This window comes from Homo sapiens, chromosome 8 (assembly GCF_000001405.40).
Source record: "Homo sapiens chromosome 8, GRCh38.p14 Primary Assembly".
NCBI lineage: Eukaryota > Metazoa > Chordata > Mammalia > Primates > Hominidae > Homo > Homo sapiens.
The window spans coordinates 103,480,987-103,503,686 of NC_000008.11; the positions used below are offsets into that span (position 1 = coordinate 103,480,987).

The 22,700-nt window shown below is 41.6% G+C and overlaps 1 protein-coding gene and 1 long non-coding RNA gene across 57 annotated transcripts in view, besides 2 other annotated features; one reads left to right on the forward strand and one right to left on the reverse strand.

Moving 5' to 3' along the window:
- Positions 1-293: 293 nt before the first annotated feature.
- Positions 294-20,924, reverse strand: LOC105375690 (uncharacterized). Of its 10 annotated transcripts, none has more exons than NR_145698.1 (5): positions 20,810-20,924; positions 17,190-17,268; positions 8,711-8,863; positions 6,575-6,695; positions 294-2,529 (listed from the first exon to the last, which is right to left on the reverse strand). It is a non-coding gene; the product is annotated as an uncharacterized LOC105375690 (long non-coding RNA). The 10 variants fall into 10 exon arrangements; NR_145699.1 differs by lacking the exon at positions 20,810-20,924 and adding an exon at positions 20,414-20,702; NR_145705.1 differs by lacking the exon at positions 20,810-20,924 and adding an exon at positions 17,984-18,245.
- Positions 17,762-17,841: a silencer, noted in NCBI's record as "silent region_19459". NCBI's record gives its function as "represses an Ori minimal core promoter by ATAC-STARR-seq in GM12878 lymphoblastoid cells {active_cell/tissue: GM12878}" and the evidence as "EXISTENCE:reporter gene assay evidence [ECO:0000049][PMID:35858748]".
- The window catches only part of RIMS2 (regulating synaptic membrane exocytosis 2), a 755,485-nt gene continuing 752,408 nt past the window's right edge, over positions 19,624-22,700 (forward strand). For all 47 annotated transcript variants that reach the window (NR_145710.2, XM_017014015.3, XM_017014010.3 and 44 more), the window contains exon 1: positions 19,624-20,076. Coding sequence is in view for 46 of the 47 variants with exons in the window: in XM_017014015.3 (XP_016869504.1) it covers positions 19,901-20,076 (176 nt within the window). In the remaining variant the exon portion in view is untranslated. The remainder of the gene's footprint in view (positions 20,077-22,700) is intronic.
- Positions 20,735-21,029: a silencer, noted in NCBI's record as "tiled region #6081; HepG2 Repressive non-DNase unmatched - State 4:PromP, and K562 Repressive non-DNase unmatched - State 10:DNaseD". NCBI's record gives its function as "represses a minimal TATA promoter and a strong SV40 promoter by Sharpr-MPRA in HepG2 and K562 cells {active_cell/tissue: HepG2 | K562}" and the evidence as "EXISTENCE:reporter gene assay evidence [ECO:0000049][PMID:27701403]".

Below are 22,700 nucleotides of genomic sequence, written 5' to 3' on the forward strand. Positions count from 1 at the left end.
CCTCTATTCTTTGCTACGGTAAATTTAACTTTACAAAGATCCTTCCTTCCCTTTATTATTAGGAGTATGTTTAATAGAGAGAAAAATCAATAGATGAGTGCTAACAATCTTAATTTATAAATAAAATGTTGCATCATAGATAGCTGATTTTGCTTTCTTATTTTGCAGTGCAACAATTCAAGGATAATTTTTGTTAATATTTCAGGTCAATCATATTTGAATTAAAAATTTAAATTAAAAAATTAAAATGCCAGCCATCTGTAAATCTACAAACAACAGTTGTACTGTGAAGCCTTTATTATTAGAGACATATCAGATTCCCCAATTTCAAGTCATAACATAAATTTCAAGTCATAACATATGTAAAATACATAACATGTGGTTTCCATTAATAAAATATTTTGTATAGAAATAGCAAAATATTTTTACACAAAGTATTGGGTCTGTCATCACTTCCATTTGCAAGGGATGAAGACTGCCAATATTAAGTCAGGTTTACAAGAGCATCTTGGGTTGTAATAGGGAAGCAATAAAGAGGTCAAGGGAACAGTTATAAAATAAATGAATAGAATATGTTTTCCCAGGTGCCACTTGGGGAAAAACACTTTGATAGATCCAAAGGAAATAAGAAACTTAAATAGATATTTTCAAGGCTAAAAAAGCTACTGATGGAGGAATAAATATAATCATCAAACACAGCTATTAGAAAATCATATTGGAGGCTGGGCCAAGGTGGGCAGATCACCTGAGGTTGGGAGTTTGAGACCAGCCTGACCAACACAGAGAAACCCCGTCTCTATTAAAAATACAAAATTAGCCAGGTGTGGTAGCGCATGCTTGTAATCCCAGCTTGGGAGGTTGAGACAGGAGAATCGCTTGAACCCAGGGGCAGAGGTTGCAGTGAGCCGAGATCAAAACAGCCTGGGCAACAAGAGTGAAACTCCGTCTCAAAAAAAAAAAAAAAAAAAAGAAAGAAAGAAAAAGAAAAAAAATGGAAATAATATTGGCCTCAAACTCATTCTGAAAGCAGAAATGGGATTCTGTGGGCTCTTGTTTTAGAGAGTGAAGTTGCTTGAGTGAACCCAGGGACTCATTGCTTAATTTGTTACTCTCACCTTAGGACAATTCTAAGAGCTGTAATATTCCCTTCCACCCATCTATACACTTTTTTCAACCACCTAGTTCCACTTTCTAAATATATATCGCTGAATGCATGCTAAAACTATTTTATCCATCATTGAGTGCTCTCTGTTGCAGCTCAGCACTGAGTAGGAATCTAATGTCTTTAACTTCAAGGGACTTGTAATATACTTAGGGAGGCAAGACTTATATCAAATGCATAAAATATACAGTAGGCCAGGCATGGCGGCTCATACCTGCAATCCCAGAGCTTTGGGAGGCTAAGGCCACAGGAGTACTTGAGGCCAGGAGTTTGAGGCCACCTTGGGCAACATAGTGAGACCTCATCTCTACTAAAAATAAAAAATTAGCCAGACAGGGTGGTGCATGCCTGTAGTCTCAGCTACTTGGGAGGCTGAGGTGGGAGGACTGCTTGAGCCTGGGAGTCCAACACTTCAGTGAGCTATGATTGCACCACTGCACTCAAGCCTAGACAACAGATTGAGACCCTGTCTCTAAAAAAAAATAATAAAAATTAAAACACAAACAAACAAAACAAGCAAACAAAACAAGTCAAGGCAGTTTTTATAGAAACTGACATTGTAGCCAGGTGCAGTGGCTCACACCTTTGGGGGCCGAGGCAGGCAGATCACTTGAGGTCAGGTGTCCGAGACCAGCTTGGCCAACATGGTGAAACCCTATCTCTACTAAAAATACAAAAATTAGCCGGGCATGGTGGTGTGCGCCTGTAATCCCAGCTACTTGGGAGGCTGAAGCAGGAGATTGCTTGAACCTGGGAGGCAGAAATTGCAGTCAGCTGAGATCATTCCACTGCACTCCAGCTTGGGTGAGAGAGTGAGACTCCATCTCAATGAATAAATAAATGAATAAATAAACCGACATTGGTAAAGAGGTTATCTTTAGTTGGGCCTTAAAGACAATGGAGTGGACACTGTCTGTTGGCTCCATAGCTAACATTCATTACTTGCCTTCCCATTACTAACAGCGTCCAGACTTTAACTTGGATAACATATATGCTTTACCATAAGCTCAAGTACTTTAGGGAAAGCTGATCCCACTTCAAGCTTCAGTCGGGGAGTTGGGGAGGGGTCTGTGGCTTGTTTAAAAACAAACATTGGTACATTCAATTTCCCCTGCTTACATCATTTTTCGGTTGAGGGTGGGGATGGGGAATGGGAAGGGGAGAACACGACCCAACCAGGGTGAATTTCAGGACCCTTGTTTGAAATGCCAGCTAAGAAATGTCTGGGAAAACACCAGGAAGAGAAAACATCTCTGTTCCTCCAACACCATGTTGTATGCATGTGAAGCCTGGAACCAGTAGAGTCATTTTGCTAGATGTAAGCTGAGGGCCAAGGAAATATATGGAGGAGGTTACTGCCAAGATACCTGCAAAGAAACAGAAGTAGAGCCACTGGATCAAGCCAACGTGAAGCCTGTCTTACTGCTGGACCAATATATTTTCTTACTGTTTAACTCAGTTTAAGTTTTGTTGGTTTGTTTTGTTTTATGTAGTTGAAAGCCTTCTGATTTAGATGGGTACATTTCAAATAAGTAAAGAAGTTAGATTGTTCCAGAAACAAGTAGTACTCAAGAAATGCAAGTAAGTTAGAAAGCCCTGGAAGATAAAAAGTAGAACAATATTTTGAAGATGGAGGGTGTATACAATGTAATGGTAAACTGTAAAAAGTGTACAAAAAAAAATGGTTCAGAGGCAGATGCAGAAAAATGTAAAACTTGAGCTATGGATTTTGGACCTTTTGTAGGCAAGGTCAGTTAATGGGTTTTGACTGGGGAATGTAAAAACAATAAACATTTACTGGCTACTTATTATGTGCTGGGCATGATACTTATATTATCTCATTTAATTATTGCAGTATTTAACAAAGTCCTACGATTTTTCCTGTTTTGCAAATGAGGAACATGCTTAGTACAGTGGCTACTAAGTAGTAGAGGTGACATAAAACCCTTGCATTTGACCTCAGAGCAGGCACTCTTAACTAATGCTTTAGTCTGCCTCATAATAAAAGTGGTGTTTTTAAACGATTAATTTGATAGCAGCATACAGAATAATTTGGAGGAGAAGGACAGAAGAGACTGAAGCAAGGGAAAATAGTTCTGGCATAAAATTTTAGTACAACTGAAATATTACAAAGAAATAACTGATGTATTAATACCTGATAATTGATAGTATGTAGAAATTGATTAAAAATAAGAAACCATAAGGAATAATCATGGATGTTTTTGACATTCCTTCCTTGGGAGATTTATGGAAAATGATGACATCAATGACAGAAAAATGGAAGTCAGAGAAAGAATTGGTTTTTTGTTCTTGGAGGAGATAGTGTATAAACTGTTTTAGATATATTCAGTTTGAGGTGATAGTGAAACCCTCAAGTATACATGCTATATAGACAACTGGGAATGAATAACTGAAAATGGAGATACAGTTTTAGATATTAGCTTCATTAAAATAATAGTTGAAACCATAATTTTATCATTAATCTTAAAGTGAAGGTAAAACAAAGTGAGGGCATCATCATTATTTTAAAAAAATTTCCTGCATCCATCTAGGGTCCTTTTGGTTGTTTGCAAAAACTTTTGTCAGCTACTTGGGAGGCTGAGGCTCAAAAATCTCAAAACAAAAAAAAACCTTTTGTAATATTTATAGTGAACTTGGGTAAAAATTCTCCAATATTCTCTTATGAGTGAAGAAATGATAAGAAATAACATGTTTATGGTTGTACCTTATCATGGTCATCAAGTCAATACATGCTTATATATTATAACAGGGACTCTATTTATAAAGTAAATAATTCCTATGTATGTATTGTTTTAACAGTGGGGTGGTCAGAGTCCTTCTATTTCACTTTTGGTGCTATTTATTTTTTCAAAGATTCTTATCTATAGTTTTAGGGTAAAATCTGGATATATCTCAATCATCTCTTCATGACATTTTAAAAATTTTATTTTCCCTCATTTTTTGATTATATTGAAAATATAAAATTTACTACTTTCATGCTATTTTTTTCCTTATGCTATCTCTGTTATTTTCATTGTGATTCTGAAATCAACATCATTTGCTCACTTTTACGCTTCACATTATATACATATATATTGAGATAGAGTTTCACTCTGTCGCCCAGGCTGGAGTACAGTGGCACGATCTCAGCTCACTGCAAACTCCGCCTCCCAGATTCAAACGATTCTCATTCCTCAGCCTCCTGAGTAGCTGGGATTACAGGCACGTGCCACCACACCTGGCTAATTTTTGTATTTTTAGTAGAGACGGGGTTTCGCCATGTTGGCCAGGCTGTTCTGGACCTCCTGGCCTGAAGTGATCTGCCTGCCTTGGCCTCCCAAAGTGCTGGGATTACAGGTGTGAGCCACTGCGCCTGGCCCACAGCATATTTTTTGTGTGTGTGAAAAAAAGTACTTAAAATGTAAAGATTTCAAAAATTAGTTCACATTAATGAAAACTAAAAAATAATACTTTCTGTCCACCAACATAGTTAAGTATTATGATTATTTCCCAGCATCTATTTCACCCTTCCCTATTATGTGGCAACCATGTGGTTTTGTTGGGTCAAGCCTATCAAGTAATCCCACTCTCTTGCTACAGAGATAGGTTCAGGTTAGTCAGACTTAAGTCATCAGAGCATGGCCTGCCCTGGCCACAGGGATGAATAAAAGGTGCTCAAATTAGTGCACAGTTCAGAACTTCTATTGAATGGATATAGGAGTAGACTAGCTCAGTTGTGGAAAGGCCTGACTGTTTTTGTCAGCCACATTATGTCTGTGAAAGGAATCACTGTTAAAATCAATACCATGGACAGCAAAGTACAGAACCAGAATGAAATTTGAGTCCCTGACAAAATAACTAGGCTGCTGGATTAATCAATTCTGATTATCTATTTCTGAATTTTCTAGTTACATGAGCCAATAAATTTCCTTATTGTTTGTCATTTTATGTCGAATTTCCTTTATATGTTACTGGAAGTGTCCTAAGAGGTAGAGCTTTCTTTTTCTATTGATAAGCTAACTGTTATTATACAGGAAAGCCCTGTAGATTCCAACTTTACACCTCTATACTTAGTTCTTCCTTCTTGACTAAGCTACTCATGGCAGTTGCACAAGACTTTGAAATTGAGCTTTATTTATCCCTTACTTACATGCGAGCAGTATGTCTGTTATCATTCTCATAGACTTACTTACAAATGAGCTCATTCCCTCAGGGGTGTTATGATCTTCTGGGATTTCCAAAGCATGATGTTGTTTCTTAAGAGAAAATCATGTTGTTGAGCCTGCCAAGATTTCCCCACCTTCAATATGGTTTACGAATATTTCCATTTCTTAATTCATTGACCATCACATTAAAAAAATTAAAGCATCTTACAAGAAGAAAAATATACATTTTAAAAGAAGTAAACAAAAAATAAAGACAATGGGATGTTTTCCATGTTGACTTCTTGCAATACAGATGCTTAACTAATCCTCTATCAGTGCTGTTCAAGAGAAATTTCTTCCAAGGTGAAAATATTTTATATCTGCACTATGCAAAATGGCAGCCAGTAGCCATATATAGCTATGAGCACTTAAAATGTGATTAGTGTAACTGAGGAACTGAATGTTTAATGTTACTTAATCTTAATTAACATAATAAATTAATATATGTTTAAATTTCAATAGCCACATGTGGTTAGTATGGCTATGGCTAGTGCTACCATATTAGACAACACAGCAGAAGATCAACCCTAGAATATTGCAGGGTTAAATAAGTGGCAGTTGAATGCTTTAGCCTAACAAGTGTACTTCTACAGTGTTTTTTTTAATCCTTGAGATGTTGTTCAATGTGCATTTAATGAGGTTTTGTTTTGTTTTCTTTCTTTTTTTTTTTTTAAGAGACAGTGTCTCACTATCTTGCTTAGGCTGGAGTTGAACTCCTGGGCTCAAGTGATCCTCCCATCTCAGGCTCCTGAGTAGCTGGGACTACAGGCGAGAGGCACACCTGGCTTATTTAATAAGATTTTATTAACTTAAATCAAATTGAGACTGGATTACTGTGTGGGCTCCTCTCTCTCCTTCATCTATCACAGGTGCCTGGTCACCAAGTCCTATTCATCCTACATCTTAAATACATTTTAAAGATACCCCTTCTTTCCATCTTCATCACCACTGTTTACTTTCGATTTGACCTTTATTATTGCTTCTAATATTTCTCTTTATACCACTCTTGGTTCCTTCCATTTCACTTCCTATCTCCTCATAGAATAACCTCCCTAAATACAATCTCACCATAACAGTTCCTTGCTGTAGAATACGCTTCCCCCACTCAAAATGTGCCCAAGACCAGTAGTATAGGCATCAATTGGAGCTCGAGAGAAATGCAGAATCTCAGCCTCCACTTCAAACTAACTGGCATAGTGGCACGCACCTGTAATCCCAGCTACTCAGGAGGCTGAGGCAGGAGAATCGCTTGAACCCAGGAGGTGGAGGTTGCAGTGAGCCAAGATCACGTCACTGCACTTCAGCCTGGTGACAGAATGAGATTCCATCTCAAAAAAAAAAAAAAAAAGAAAAAAAATTCTTACTGATCACTTTATAGAGAATTTTTATTTTACAAGGGGAAAACTGAAGCCTTCAAAGTTGAATGACTTTTCCAAAATTATTGGCATGGTAACATTTTCTTTATACTAGGCACCCCATAAAATATGCAGCTAATAAACATGACAAACTTATTTTTCTTTCTCTGGTATTGGGATGAACTAAATTTCTCTCCACTAGTAAGATAAAGAGTCTAATAAAGTTGGGTTACTTCTTGATTTCTTCTGCTAACCCTTCTTTACTCTTCCCTTCTGGGAAACGACATGGCTTTTTTCTGTCTCCCTTTCACTTTAGTGTTATATGATGCTAATCAGAAAGATAGTGAAGTAATTAGGGATGCAGTACCATCAGTACACAGCTGATAGTAAGCTTTGCATCTCCTTTCATCAGATCTAGGATGAGGTTTCTTGAATTTCATAGTGTCTGGCAGAGTAAAGGACATGGAGGAAAGCAGTTGGATCAGGCACCATCTAGATAAGATTAAATCAATCCTCGTAGGCACAGGGGGACATTTGAAGCATACAGCAGTCAGTCACACTGTGGAAGATAAACCCACCTTTTGTTTCAGAAAGCCACAGTTGTGGGAAATCTTGGATTGCAGGCTATTTCTAATTTCCCAAATTTTGCCCCAAATTTCTATAGTCACTTCCTATATGATTTTACATAAACAGTGATTACTTTTTTTTCCAGTTGGGAAGCTTGCTATGACTTTATCTTCTTGCACTGAATATCAGGCCTATGTTGATTACTTCTATATCAATTATAATGCTTTTCTCACAAACCCCTGGGTAGTTTGACTCATTTTTTTTTTTTGCCATGAAACTTTATTAGAAGATGGGCTCAGTATTCCTGGTATTTCTATTATTAATAGTTATTTCTGAATTCCAGCTGGTGTCAAAAATCTTTTCCTGGGGAGAATATAACCTAATCAGAGTGATTTATTCTTTTCTATTGGGGAATTAATTAACTTAATTTCAACCAATATTTATTAAATGTCTACATGTAGTATTGCGATTACAGGATGGTCACGACATACACCTTTGCTTTAGGAACATATTGTCTAGATTTTAAAGATTTTCTACACCCATTACATATTGTGCATCTGAGTCTAATTCATGTTACACTAAATTTAGCAAGACTATGTAATGTGAACTGCAAACTGGGATACTGTGGGGAGTGAAAGGAGTTGTAATTAATAATCATACCTGATCAACAGATTAAATAAAGACTGTCTTGGGAAAACTGAGATAGTGTCAGACAAAGTGGAACATATGGTCACCTTAATTAAATATCAGTTTCTGTTATACTTGTATTTTCACATTGTACGTATGATAGTTATTAGGGACCATGTTGGGTTAAATATAACTACTTTATGATGCCTATTATATGACAGGCACTACAATAAAAGTGTGCTCAGATTTGAGTCAGGGAAACCAAATATATGCATACAATCATATTGAGCAAATGCGTATAGCGGAATGAATACTGGACAGGGAGCCAGGAGACCTAGATTTGAAAATTAGCCTTGAATTTCAAGCACTCCCTTTGGTCACATCATTTAACCCCTCTGAAGCTCAGTTGTCTTACCTGTAAAATGGAATGATACTAATTTTTCACAGAATGAGAAGGTAAAAAAATGTGACAGCACTTGACACAGTATGTGTCAAATAATGAATGCTTGATAAAAGGTTATCTGAGTTTGCTGATGTTCTAGTTTAATGAAAGGCAACCAGAAAGGAAGCTAGAAGACTCAATCTCTTTGTGAAAACTTATTATGCAGATTTTTTTTCTGATCTTCCATTGCCAATCCTGCTAGTCATATTATTTTGAAGCAAATCTCAGATATCACATCATTTCATCCAGAATTATTTTAGTATTTATCACTAAGGATTTATTTTTAATATCATTACAATACAATTATTATCCTAAAATTAACAATAATTCCCTATTATCTTCAAATACTTACTGTCCAAATTTCCAATTCTCTTATAAAAGTTTTTTCCAGTCTTTTAAAAAAATTCAGAGTCCATAGGCCAGGCACAGTGGGAGGCCAAGGCAGGAGGATCGCTTGAGACCAGGAGTTTAAGATTGGCTTGGGCAACACAGTGAAATTCTGTCTCTGCAAAAAAATTTTTTAAAAATTAGCCAGGTGTGGTGGTACCTGCCTGTGGTTGTAGCTACTCAGGAGCCTAAGGCCAAGAGGACCACCTGAGCCCACGAGGTGAAGGCTGCAGTGATGCAGTGAGCTATGATTGTGCCACTGCACTCCAGCTTGGATGACAGAGCAAGACCCTGTTTCTAAAAAAAGAAAAGAAAGAAAGCAAAAGAAAAAAATTCAGGTTCTAAATGAAATTTCATGAATTATTTGCACTTGGTTGATGTCTTTTAATCTTAACTATATATCCTACTTGCAATATGCTGAAAAAACTGGGTTTTGTCATGTAGAATGTTCTCAAGTGTTCCACAGACGGCAATCTCCTGGTACAGTTTAATACATTCCTCTGTCTCCATTATTTCCTGTAAATTGATAGGTGAAACTAGAAGATGTTCAATTTCAGATCTGATTTTGTTTTGTTTTTAGCAAGACAACTTCATGGGGGGGTGTTGTGTTGCTCTATCAGGAAGCATACAATGCCTGGTTGTCTATTTTCTTTGATGTTAGCAGCCGTTGTTGTTTAATCGATATTGAATATCTAGGTCCACTTGTTCATTAGGAGTTTTAAATTTATTTCTGATCTCATAAAATTCAGTTGTTTTACTTCTGTAAGCAGTCAGAGTTATAATTAAGATAAAGATGTACACACAAAACACTTATCCACCATGATCAAGTAGGCTTCATCCCTGGGATGCAAGGTTGGTTCAACATAGCGCAAATCAATAAGTGTGATTAATCACATAAACAGAACTAAACACAAAAACCACATGATTATCTCAATAGATGCAGAAAAGGCTTTCAGTAAAATTCAACACCCTTTATGTTAAAAACTCTCAATAAACTAGGTTTGAAGGAACATACCTTAAAAATAGTAAGAGTCATCTATGACAAACCCACAGCCAACATCATACTAAACAGGCAAAAACTGGAAGCATTCCCCTAGAAAGCTGGCACAAGACAAGGATGCCCTCTTTTACCACTCCTATTCAACACAGTATTAAAAGTCCTGGCCAGGGCAGTCATGCAAGAGAAAGAAATAAAGGGTGGAAAAGAGAAAGTCAAACTATTCCTTTTGGCAGATGACAGGATCCTATACCTAGAAAACCCCATAGTCTTGGCCCTAAAGCTCCTTAAGCTGATAAACAACTTCAGCAAAGCAAAGTCTCAGGATACAAGAATCAATGTACAAAAATCACTAGCATTCCTATTCACCAACAGCAGTCAAGCCGAGAGCCAAATCAGGAACACAATCTCATTCATAATTGCCAAAAAAAGAATGAAATATCTACGAATACAGCTAACCATAGGTGAAAGATCCCTATAAGGTGAACTACAAAACACTGCTCAAGAAATCAGAGATGATACTAACAAATGGAAAAACATTCCACGCTCATGGATAGGAAGAATCAGTTTGTTAAAATGGCCATACTGCCCAAGGCAGTTTAGATTCAATGCTATTCCTATTAAAATACCAAAGACATTCTTCACAGAACTAAAAAAAACTATTTTAAAATTAATATGGAACCAAAAAAGAGCCCAACTAGCCAAGGCAATCCTAAGCAAAAAGAACAAAGCTGGAGGCAGCACACTATACCCAACTTTAAACTATACTATGCGGCTACAGTAACCAAAACTGCATAGTACTGGTACAAGGACAGACACACAGGCCTATGGAACAGAATAGAGAACCCAGAAATAAGGCCACACACGTACCTGACAAAATCTGACAAAAACATGCAATGGGGAAAGGACTCTCTATTCAATAAATGGTGCTGGGATAACTGGCTAGCCATATGCAGAAGATTGAAAGTGGATCCCTTCCTTATGCCATATACAAAAATTAATTCAAGATAGATTAAAGACTTAAATGTAAAACTCAAAACTATAAAAACCCTGGAACACAACCTAGGCAATACCATCTTGCACATAGGAATGGGCAAAGATTTCATGACGAAGATGCCAAAAGCAATTGCAACAAAAGCAAAAATTGACAAATGGGATCTAATTAAACTAAAGAGCTTCTGCATGCAAAATAAACTATCAACAGAGTGAACAGACAACTTATAGAATGGGAGAAAATTTTTGCAAACTATGCATCTTATAAAAGTCTAATATCCAGCATCTATAGCAAACTTCAACAAATTTATAAAGAAAAAACCAAAGCACCCCATTAAAAAGTGGGCAAAGGACATGAACAGACATTTCTCAAAAGAAGACATACACGTGGCTAATAATAACATGAAAAAAAGTTCAATATCACTGATCATTAGAAAAACGCAAATCAAAACCATGAGATGCCATCACACACCAGTCAGAATGCCGATCATTAAAAAGTCAAAAAATAACAGATGCTGCTGAAGTTGCAGAGAAAAAGAAGCGTTTATACACTGTTGGTGGGAGTGTAAATTAGTTCAACCATTGTGGAAGACACCATGGCGATTCCTCAAAGATATAAAAAAAGAAATACTATTTGACCCAGCAATCCCATTACTGGGTATATACTCAAAGGAATAGAAATTGTTCTGTTATAAAGACATGGAATCAACCTAAATGCCCACCAATTGTAGACTGGATAAAAAAAAAATGTGGTACATATACACCATGGAATACTATGTAGCCATAAAAAAGAATGAGATCAAGTCCTTTATAGGAACATGGATGGAGCTGGGGGCCATTATCCTTAGCGAACTACCACAGGAACAGAAAACCAAATACCGCATGTTCTCACTTGTAAGGGAGCTAAATGATAAGAACACATGGACACATACAGGGGAACAACACACACTGGGGTCTATCGAACAGTGGAGGGTGGGAGGAGGGAGAGGATCAGAAAAAACAACTAATGGGTACTAGACTGAATACCCGGGTGACAAAATTATCTGTAAAACAAACTCTCAAGACACAAGTTTACTTATGTAACAAACCTGCACTTGTACCCCTGAACTTTTTCTCTTTCTTTTTTTTTTTTTTAGAGACGGAGTCTTGCTCTGTTGCCCAGGCTGAAGTGCAGTGGTGCGATCTCGGCTCACTGCAACCTCCGCCTCCCGGATTCTAGCAATTCTCCTGCCTCAGCCTCCTGAGTAGCTGGGATTACAGGTGCATGCCGCCACACCTGGCTAATTTTTTGTATTTTAGTAGAGATGGGGTTTCACCGTGTTGCCCAGGCTGGTCTCGAACTCCTGAGCTCAGGCAATCCACCCGCCTCGGCCTCCCAAAATGCTAGGATTACAGGCATGAGCCACCACGCCCACCATACCCCTGAACTTAAAAGTTAAATAAAAAAGGATAAAGATGTAATTAAGAAAATAACATCAGTTATGCTATGTCTCTACCTCTAATATAGTCCTATTTCACTTTACAGATGTGCTTATTGATTGCTAGGAGGGAAGCAAAAATAGAAACAACTTTATAATGCTATAAATGAAAGATGAAGGCTGGGCAAGGTGGGTCATGCCTGTAATCCCAGCACTTTGGAATGCCGAGGTGGGTGGATTGCTTGAGGTCAGGAGTTTGAGACCAGCCTGGCCAAAATGGTGAAACCCTGTCTCTACTAAAAATACAAAAATTAGCCAGATGTAGTGGTGCGCGCCTGTAATCCCAGCTACTAAGGAAGCTGAGACGGGCAACAGAGCGAGACTCTGTCTCAAAAAAAAAAAAAAAAAGACAATTATTATGTTCCCACTTTTAATATGAATAGCTCTATGAGTTTTATGACATAATAATAAATAACTTCCTATATTGCTAAATACACAAAAAGTAATTAATAATGCTTACCTACACTAACATCCATTAAGTTTTTCATTATTTTTTGGCCTTGAATTCCAATAATTAAATTTTACTAATCTCTAGCTTCTTCTCCAGGAACAAACAATGTATGTTTCTCTCTGAGGTTGTGCTCTTTGGTCATCACTAATATAATACTATTATTTTCATTAAAATGAAATTATAGTCCTATAACCAATAGCCATGTACTTTGAGTTGCTTCTACAATAATGGTGATTAACTTTGGATGAACCAGTCATAGTCTCTCACCCAATTCCTGGTCAAGAAATAACATGTTGTCATCTGACAACTGGCAAAGATTAACAGTCAGCTGTGGCCACTGCACTGACTGACTCACTCAGGGATTTAAACCATGACCTTGGCCTCATTATCATGCTGTTATAATCTACTGAGCAAAATAGCTACAAAAATAAATTCTGAAAGCAGGAAGCAAAAAATTCTGTTATTTGTGTCTCCAGGCCCAAACCATTATGCATCTGTGTCCATTGAGTATTCTACTAGTAGGCATTTTAGACATGGGTGAAGAACTGAAGGCAGGATATCCTCCTGAAAATCAAAGCTGATCATGTCAGTTCTCTCACTAAAAAACCTCCACTGTCTAATGATATAAGTTCAAATTCTTCAGCACAGCATATAGGATTGTAGCATAATCTTATAACAACCAATTTCTCCAGCTTTATCTTTTGCTACAACTCTTTGCCTCCCTTTCTTCATACTCTAACAACTGTAATTTTCTCATTATTTTGTGACTGCTCATATATTTTTTCAGTATACATTTATTGAGTCTCTATAATGTATGAGACGCTCTGATAAGCCCTGGGGAAACTGAAGTTGAAGGCACATTACTTGATCTTAAAGAATTCATGGTCCAGTCGAGACAGACAAGGAAATAAATGGCCACAACACACTGTGACAAGTGCTATCTATAAGCACAGTAGGTATATTGGTATGACAGTCTAGGGAAAACACGTGGAAGAAAGGGAGAGAGAGGGATGAGTATATGGTGAAGACAAAGAAATTAACTAAGAAAGTTATGAGAGAGGGAGTAGAAAAGGTGATCTAAGCTGAGGGAATAGAAAGTCAGAGAGATGAGACAATTCACATATTCAGTAAAGTGCAAGTAGACCGTCATGGCTGAAGAGGAGGATGTGTTTGTAGGCTGGGTTGGAGGCAACGCTAGAGAGGTAGACAGCAATTTAATCCTAAAGGAATCTGTACAGTTTGGCAAATACTTTAGGTCTTACTTATTTGCACTGCTTTTCTCTTTTTTCAGAATGCTTTTTCCCTTTTGCTGCCCAACTTAGACAAATATAATGTCAAATCCTCTTTCCAGAAATTTATTGAACAAATATTTGTTGGAACACCTACTATGTGCCATGTATTGTTCTAAGTGTTTGGGATACATTAATAAAATGCATACCCTGTCCTTGTGCTTATATTGAAGTACAAGGAAGTAGATGATAAATATAATAAACTGGTATATATTTAACTTGGAGTAAAAATACTGTTGTCAGAGAGAGTGGTAAGTGCTGTGGGAAGAAGAAAAAGTAGGGTAAGGTAAAGAAGATCATCATAATGACCAGGGAGGGTGTGGGGCAGGTAGGACTATTAAATAAGATGGACAATTGAGCAAAAATTTGAGGAAGAGGGATTTAGCCAAGTGAGTATCTTAGCGAAGGGTATTCTAGGCACAGGGAACAGCTCGAGGAAAGCCTAAAAGAAAGTACTAGGAGATGAAGTCAGTGATCATGTGGGACTTGTAAGCCATTTAAAGAACGCTTGTGAATAAAGTGGGGAGCCACCTTGGGATTTTGACCAGCAGAGTGTTTTGATCTAATGTTTTAGGAGGCTTCTGGTTTGTGCAGTGTTGAGAAGAGACTATAGAGCTGCAAGCACAGAAGCAGGGAAACCTGTTATGAGAATCGATAGAAATGCCAACCATCGAAGTATATTTACATGCACTAAGGGGCACTGCAATGATTCTGAGCATCGTGAAACACCCAGCTTTTGTAGCAGAGTACTAGGTCCTCAGTAAATTCTCGTGAGGTAACTATTTTAGTTTGTGACTTTAGATATACCTCCTAATACTGATTTACTAGATTACAAGTAGCCCTTACTCGTATGTAAAAATGAAAGTTCACAGAATCATAGACTTCAAGAGCCTATAGGAACTGCAGAAAGGACTTGCAGTTTTTTGTTTGTTTGCTTGTTTTTTATTTTTTGGACTCTGTCACCCAGGCTGGAGTGCAGTGGCCTGATCTCAGCACACTGCAACCTCTGCCTCCCAGGCTCAAGTGATTTTCCTGCCTCAGCTTCCAAACTAGCTGGGATTACAGGTGTCTGCCACCAGGCCTGGCTAATTTCTTGTATTTTTAGTATAGACGTGTTTTCACCATGTTGGCCAGGCTGGTCTTGAACTCCTGACCTCAGGTGATCCACCCGCCTCGGCTTCTCAAAGTGCTGGGATTCCAGGCGTGAGCCACCATGCCCATCCTGTTTGTTTTTTATCTGTATTTATTTATTTTTTTTGAGAGAGAGTCTCGCTCTGTTGCCCAGGCTGGAGTGCAGTGGCATGATCTTGGCTCACTGCAACCTCTGCCTTCAGGGTTCAAGTGATTTTCCTGCCTCAGCCTCCCGAGTAGCTGAGATTACAGGCACCCGCCACCATGCCCGGCTAATTTTTGTATTTTAGTAGAGACGGCATTTCACCATGTTGGTCAGGCTGGTCTGGAACTCCTGACCTCAGGTGATTCACCCAGGTCCTCCCAAAGTGCTGGGATTACAGGCGTGAGCCACCATGCCCAGCCAGCCTGTTTTTTAAGACAGGGTCTCAGTCTGTCACTCAGGCTGAAGTGCGGCAGAGCAATCATAGCTCACTGTAGCCTTGAACTTCTGGGCTCAAGGGATCCTCTTGCCTTGGCCTTCCAAAGTACTGGGATTACTGGTGTAAACCACAGTGCCTGGCCAGGACTTGCATTTTGGGATTAGTTTATGGCCTGTCAAGACTTGAAAATTCAGTGATGAAGACAGCTGTTACTTCTAAAGTTAACGAAGAATACTGGTTTTGACTCAACTTTAAATGTGTTCATACACTGAGGGACAGGCCAAAGTAAAAGATAATGCTGTACAGGACAAAGTCAGATGTGATGAAGATTTTAAGTAAAACACTGTACCAAAACAAACAAAACACCTCTAAGATCCATATTGTAGAAAGACCAAAAGACAGAGATCTTGTGAATACATTTTACTTTCTTTAGTTCTGAGCCCAGCAATTTTATGTCAAACTGGGGCAAGTATTTTGAAAAGTAGTTCATTTACGCTAAAGCCAATTTAAAAATTCTATATGATATATATTCTATGTATGCGATATATAAATACTGTGACAAATTTTTACTTCGTCCAGGTGTGTGAATAACAGTGGAAGATGGTTTAAAAGACTTCCTTCCACTCCTAAGTAGTCCCTTTAATAGGAAAAACACATCTAGTTGTAGTAAAAACTGTAAAAAGGAAACACCGTAACAGTAACCCCACTCACTTCTGCTTCATTCCTGTAAAAAGTCATATGTTCCAGTGATACTGGCTCATGCCCACTGTATTTCATGAGCTGGCACTGTCTCCAGGTAGGCGAAGCATGGGTGGGGGTGCAGGGAGACACAGCCTCAGGCACCCAGCATGCTAACCATATGACCGCTAGAAAGCAGTGCAGGGCCCAGGGGGTGACCCTCTACTGTAAAGGAAGCCAAAATCGTCTAATTTGGACCATGACTTTGAAGTTCACATTTTATAGACTCAAAATAACTAAGCTATTTTAACCTCAAAAAGTTTAAACCTCAGAGTAGTGTGTATATTCTGGCTTCTGGTTCTGCTTGGGTTGATAGTTAGCTGGGGGTGGGAAGTGGTGTTTGTTTTTTTAAATCTGGCACAGAAATAGTTGAATAAGGTAGACTGTTCCACCCATTCCTTTTGATTATTTTTAGTTCTGCTCTCCTTTCTTCTAAAGGAGCAGTTTGTGGATTTTAGCAGCACTTAGGTTTTCCTAAGCGAAAGTCAAAGATAAATGTATTTACTGGTACCTGTCATTGTGTATGAGAGGAAAGTACGGATAGTAAGCGTCAATTTCAATTTCAGGTAAAAAATTATGTTCTCTTTAAAACTGTTGGTTTTAGTTGTCGCTTTTTTTTTTAGTTTGTCACTTTTTTTTTCCTTCTCCGTTATTTATTTTGCAATGCATATAGTGCAGTTCTCAACATTTGCTATACCTTAATCACTTGGGGAACTTTCAAACTATATTCACAGCCAGGGTCCTAACACCAGAGTCTGATTCATTTGACCTATGGGCCCAGGTGGTATTTTAAAAAAGTGACCCAGTGAATCTTTAACTCAGATGACTGGAAAAAAAAAAAAAAAGTGAGCCAGGTAATTTTAGTGTGCAGCTACGGTTGAAAACCAGCATGGTTTCAAAGTTGCTTAAAAACATCTAGGTTCTAGTTCCAGCCCCGCCACTTACCAGCTGGCTGTTCTTGGTGGTCTTCTGTTTCCCATAGGATGATGAGGTTGGATTAGAAATTCATAAAAATTGTTGAACTCTACAACAAAATGAAATAAACTGGGATTCATATAATTTCATCTGGTTTGCTCAGCTCCAAAGAGATGAAAATTGAATTATCTGGAGTATGAGAGTGTTGTTTGAAACAAGTTAGTAATAATTTAAAAAACAGCTCTTAAGTAAACTTTTCCCTCTTCCCAATTACAAGGCATGGGAGAAAAGAAAAATAGACATTTAAGCTTAGAAATCACAGGAGACTTCCAGGGCTGCTTTGCCTGTCCCCAGCTCTCTTAAATGGGGAGCTAGTCAGACGGTACCTGGGGAACAGAGGGAGGAGGGAGAGCACTTACTACACATCAAGAAGGTAAATATAAACCCCAAAGGCTTACGTTACTCATCAGACCACAATATGGCCTGGTACTAAGCAGCGCGCGTGTGGAAGGCTGGGTGGGGTGCGCACACACGCTCACTTGTGTACGTACACACACACACACACACACACACACACAGGCACACACACCCGAGCTCAGTCACCCACATTGCTTGCCCAGGGCGCCTGGAAGAGCTGGCGAGCCCGCCCAGCTCTGTTCACCCGGCCCCGCCCCGCCCCCTCCGGGAGGGCTCTCCGGGCGGCGCCCAGCCCCGAGCAGAGCAAAGGACGGCGGCGGCCACCTCCGTTCTCCGGCCGCTGGTTTCTCGTCTTTCCTCGTCCTTTCATTGAACCCATCTCCGTGCTTCGAAAATCTGACTCTAACCCGATCTCTTCGCGTCTCCGCCTCTTCTTTCTAGAGTGAGCGCCAAAAAGGGCCTGACAGACAGAAGCCTTTGGCCCCAGCACCGGCCCAGCCCGTCTCTAGACGATTCTTGCTCCTTTCACCCTCACAGCCTCCAGTGGTCGCTTCATCTTCGCACCCTCCCGGCCAACCCTAACTCTCCTCGTCTCTCCTCGCGCTGTCTCGCGTCCTCCCCTCAGGATCCTTCCGCACATTCTCAGCGTCCAGCGCGGTTTCCCACAACTTCCTCACGCCCCGCTCCCCTCGCCCTGTCCCCGCCCTCGACACCACCTGCGTTCCCCACTCGCTCCAACCTCCCTCCCCCGCTATCCCCACTTGTGGGCCTCCAGCTCTCTGCCCCTTTCCTGGCCCCCATCCCTGACACCCCAGGGACCCTTCCTCCCTCCTCACGTTCTCCCTCCTTCCAGGATCCCGCCCCGACACTTCGGGGCCCTCCCGCTACGCGCACTCTTTCTCCTCAGGTCCTGACACCTGGGCGCCCCCTCCCTGTCACCCACCTTCAGCTCCAGCCCTGACTCTCGGGCGCCTTGCCACCCTTACGCTCCCCGCCCCGCCCCGGTCCCTCGGGCGCCCCCACTCGCCGCCTCTACCTCCCTACCTGCTACACCTGGCACCCCTGCCCCCACCCCTGCTCATACTCTTCCCCCGCCCCCGACACCTCGGGCGCCCCCTCACACGCTCCTATTCTCCACACTTCCGTCCCCGAAAACTCGGGCGCCCTCTCCCTTCACGCTCAGTCTCTCCTCCCTCCCCGCCCGGCCCCGGACCCAGCCTGGAGATCGCGCTCGGGAGGGGCGGCTGCCGCCCGCGGGGCGCCCGCGGTGCCCGGGCCTGGGCAGCGAGGAGGTGACGCCGCCCCCGCGGGATGAGCCCGGGAGGCGGAGGGGCGGAGGAGGTGCTGGCGGCGGCACTGAGCGGCGGCGGCGCAGGGCGCGCGGGCCTTCCGCGCCGACTCCATCGACCCAAGGGGCGGCGGCGGTGGCGGCGGCTGAGCGACCCTGGGCCGGGCGCGTGATGAGGAGGGGCCGGCGCCAGACCCCGCTGCACGTCGGAGCTCGCCTGGATCCGGGCGTTGGCAGCCGAAGGGCCCTGGCCCCGGGACTCTCCGCCGCTAGCCCCCGTCATATCTTCTCCGCTTTCGCTTCTCCACTCTAGCCGGGGGTGGGGTGGGTGGGGTTGGGGTCTCCGCGGGGGTTTCCGGCCCCGCGGCCCGCTCCCGGGTGTGCCTGGAGGAGTTCTCCCTCTGTGGCGCGCGGGAGCCCTGTGATGCGTCAGCCGGCGGGACGGATGAGTTGCTTCTCCGGGAAACCGTCCTCGCTTCCTCACGACCCTCTCGGCTCCCGCCTGGGTGCCCCTCGGGCCGGCAGTACTCCGCCTCCGGGCGCTCGAAGCGAGTTCCCCGGGGGCTTGTTCGCAGGCACCCCTTCCCCTCCGAGGCGGCGCGCGCGCTCCCGGCCCTGACCGCGGCCGGACACACTCGCGCCCCGGTCCGCCTGTCGCCCTCCCGCCTGCTCCCTCCAGTCACCCCACCCTTAGCTGTCCCCGCCACCTTACTCCACCACCCTCCCCCGCCTCTCCGCGCACTCCGCGTCCCGGCCTCCAGTTCCCCTTTCCCTTGAACCGCTCACTTCACAGCCCTTCGCCCCCGGGAAGAAGAAACATTTCCCGAAGCGCACTCCTCAGCCCTCCTTCCCCACGCGCTCGCCCTCCCCTCCCCCTGCTTTTCTTGGGGGAGGGGGGCTGTCGCCTTGGATTGAAGGCCATTGATTTGTATGTATTTGTCCCAGCGCTGGAGGCTGCCCCAGCCGCCGCGCCGGTGCCGCCGCTGCCAGTGGAGTTGCCTCCCCGCTTCCCTAGGGTGGTTCGGCTCCACCAAACATGTCGGCTCCTGTCGGGCCCCGGGGCCGCCTGGCTCCCATCCCGGCGGCCTCTCAGCCGCCTCTGCAGCCCGAGATGCCTGACCTCAGCCACCTCACGGAGGAGGAGAGGAAAATCATCCTGGCCGTCATGGATAGGCAGAAGAAAGAAGAGGAGAAGGAGCAGTCCGTGCTCAAGTAAGGACCTGGCTCCATATTCCCGCCTCTCTCCCTGCCCTCCGCCCCCTCGCCCACTGCCCTGCGGCCGCCTGCGCGCCCCAGTTCGCCGCCCTCCCTCCCGCTGGCGGCGCCCAGGCCACGAGGGCTGCGGCCAGCGCCGGCCGCCCGGGCTGTTTTAGGGGTGTCTGAGAGCAGGGGTGTGTGTCGGGGAGGGAGGGCGCCAAGGCCGGCTGAGGTGAGGGTGGCGAGCCTTAGGCGGTGTGATTTTCCTTGGCGCCTTTCCGGATTTCCTCGCTGGTCATCTTGGCTCCGGGGCCCCAGCGGGACTGGGGCTGAACCCAGGCTCTGTGCGTACCCTCTCCTTTCCCGCCGCGCTGAGGCAGTGACTGGGGCACAGAATCCAATATGGCCGTGCACAGGTGCTCCCTGGACGGACCCGGGCGAAGGCGCGCTGGCAGGGGATGCGGACGCCACCCTGGTCCCACGCCTCCGCGGGGCGGCTCTACCAGCAACGCGGGACAGAGCAGGGCTGCCCACAGTGGCTGCGAGCAGCGGGCGGCGGCGCGGGCTAGGGGCCTAAGCTCTGTCGCGGTCGGGTGGGTGTGCGTCCGCCGCCATCTTCCAGCCCCTCCCCCTCGGCGAGTGCTAACACCCTGCACTCTGCTGCTCTTCCTGTTTGCAACTAGTAAATCTGTTTAATCCTGAAGAGACTCCAGTTCCTACCATCACTGCAGTTTGGGATGCTCCCTACCTTGTGAAGTTCTACTATTCTTGCTCACGGTCTTGGCAGGCCGGGTTTTTCTGAGGGTGGTAGGAGTGAAAGCAGCACCCAGGCATGCGTTTACCGGCTCTGGAACTTCAGCACCAGGGAACTGTCCAGACAGGGTTATCTTTAGCTCTGAGACTACTTTTCTGGTTAGCGTAGCAAAGAGATTTGTTTCTACAAGGTTTGCTTTTGAATGTTTTATGGTTATTTGATTTCTCAGTTACTTTGTGAAAGAGGTTATTCAGAAGATGTGTAACCTTTTTATGTTTTTCCAGCTTGGCTTTTTTCTTTTTACTTGAAATGAGTTATTCAGATGATTCTTTTGCGTTTTGTCAAGTATACGTTTCCCATATTCTCCACAGAAATATACAATTGAAAGTGTAGAGTTCCTCTGTGAAGGAACTAATACACTCACCTCTATTCAGGTACATTTTAAAAGCAGGTTGTTGAATTTAGTAGTCTTTCATGTACTAATAAAGAAACAGGTTTCATTGTCAATAGGTATATATTTTCATATTTTAATGAAAAATACCACTTTAAATAATTTATAGTAGCAAACATCAAATATTCACAAATCTTAGAGAAAGATACTATTTCTCACAAAATATTGAGTGGCTAAAAGAGCAAATATGTTCCTGAAATAACTGAAATTAAGAATGTCTTCATGAAAGCTAATTTCTGGCGTTGAATACTTATTTGGGAATGTTATTTATTAACAGCCTTCAGATATGAAGAAATTAAGAGACTTAAGCAGTTTACTCTAACTAATAGAAGAATAAAGCATTATTTTTAGAAGCTTTTTGAGCATACTTCTTACTGTGCTTAACTTTTTTTTTGTATACTAACAATGCCAAGCTTTTGATGACTTGCAGTTTGATATTTAAATATGTGAACTTAATGCCTTTTACTATAATTGATAAAAATCAGTGCGGCCAAAATGATGCTCCAGTAAAATGTAGTTTTATTTTTTTGACTTACCTATTTAAATGTAAAATGTGTTTTTATTTCTTCATAGTAGAAATACTATGTGGCTAGTTCACTGTAGTTCTAAGTTTATTTGTTGTTTTAATATAGAAATTTAAGTGGACTTTAAGTATTAGGATTATTCAAAATGAACAGTATGTTAGGAAGATGTTGTAAAAGGGTTTTTCAGGTAGCTACATATGTATATATTATTTCTGTATGTAAACCTACATACTATTCAATACATATAATATTTACATATTCATATTTCCATAGTTTAGATAGAAACAAATGTTCTCTAAATACATATTCATACAATCTATAAAATTACATTGATGAAAAATATATATTCAGATTTATTTTAAATATTTGTTTGCATTGCTACCTAACTTAGTCTTAGAAAGGAGTCTTACCTCAAAATGGCTTTCATGGTTTCACATTCTTGTTATATTTATTTTAACAAAAAGTTATTTGGAGGTTAAAGCATAATATATTTGGACATTTGGTTTTAAATGTTCTTAATTTTTTTTTAACGAAAGAGTAGGCAAGGAAATGAAATGAATAGACTTTATAATGGAATTATAGTAATGAGAGACAAATCATTTTGAAGATTTTGACAGTTTACTAAATAATACATTATCAATATTGGGTATTAAATTACAAATACATAAGAAAAATAATACTAACGGTCTTCAATGGTTACTATTTCCCATGAAGTTTTAGGGTTCGCTTACCTAGTCATTACTATCCTTTGTTTCTTTTTAGTGCTGTTCATTACATTGAAAATTAACATGTATTTTAAGAGTAGAGAGAAAAATAAACTGAAATTTAAATGCATGTCTGCTGCCTTTTAACATTTATGTTAAAAAATACATTTGATGTGTGAAGATACTGCAATGGTTAGATAAAAATA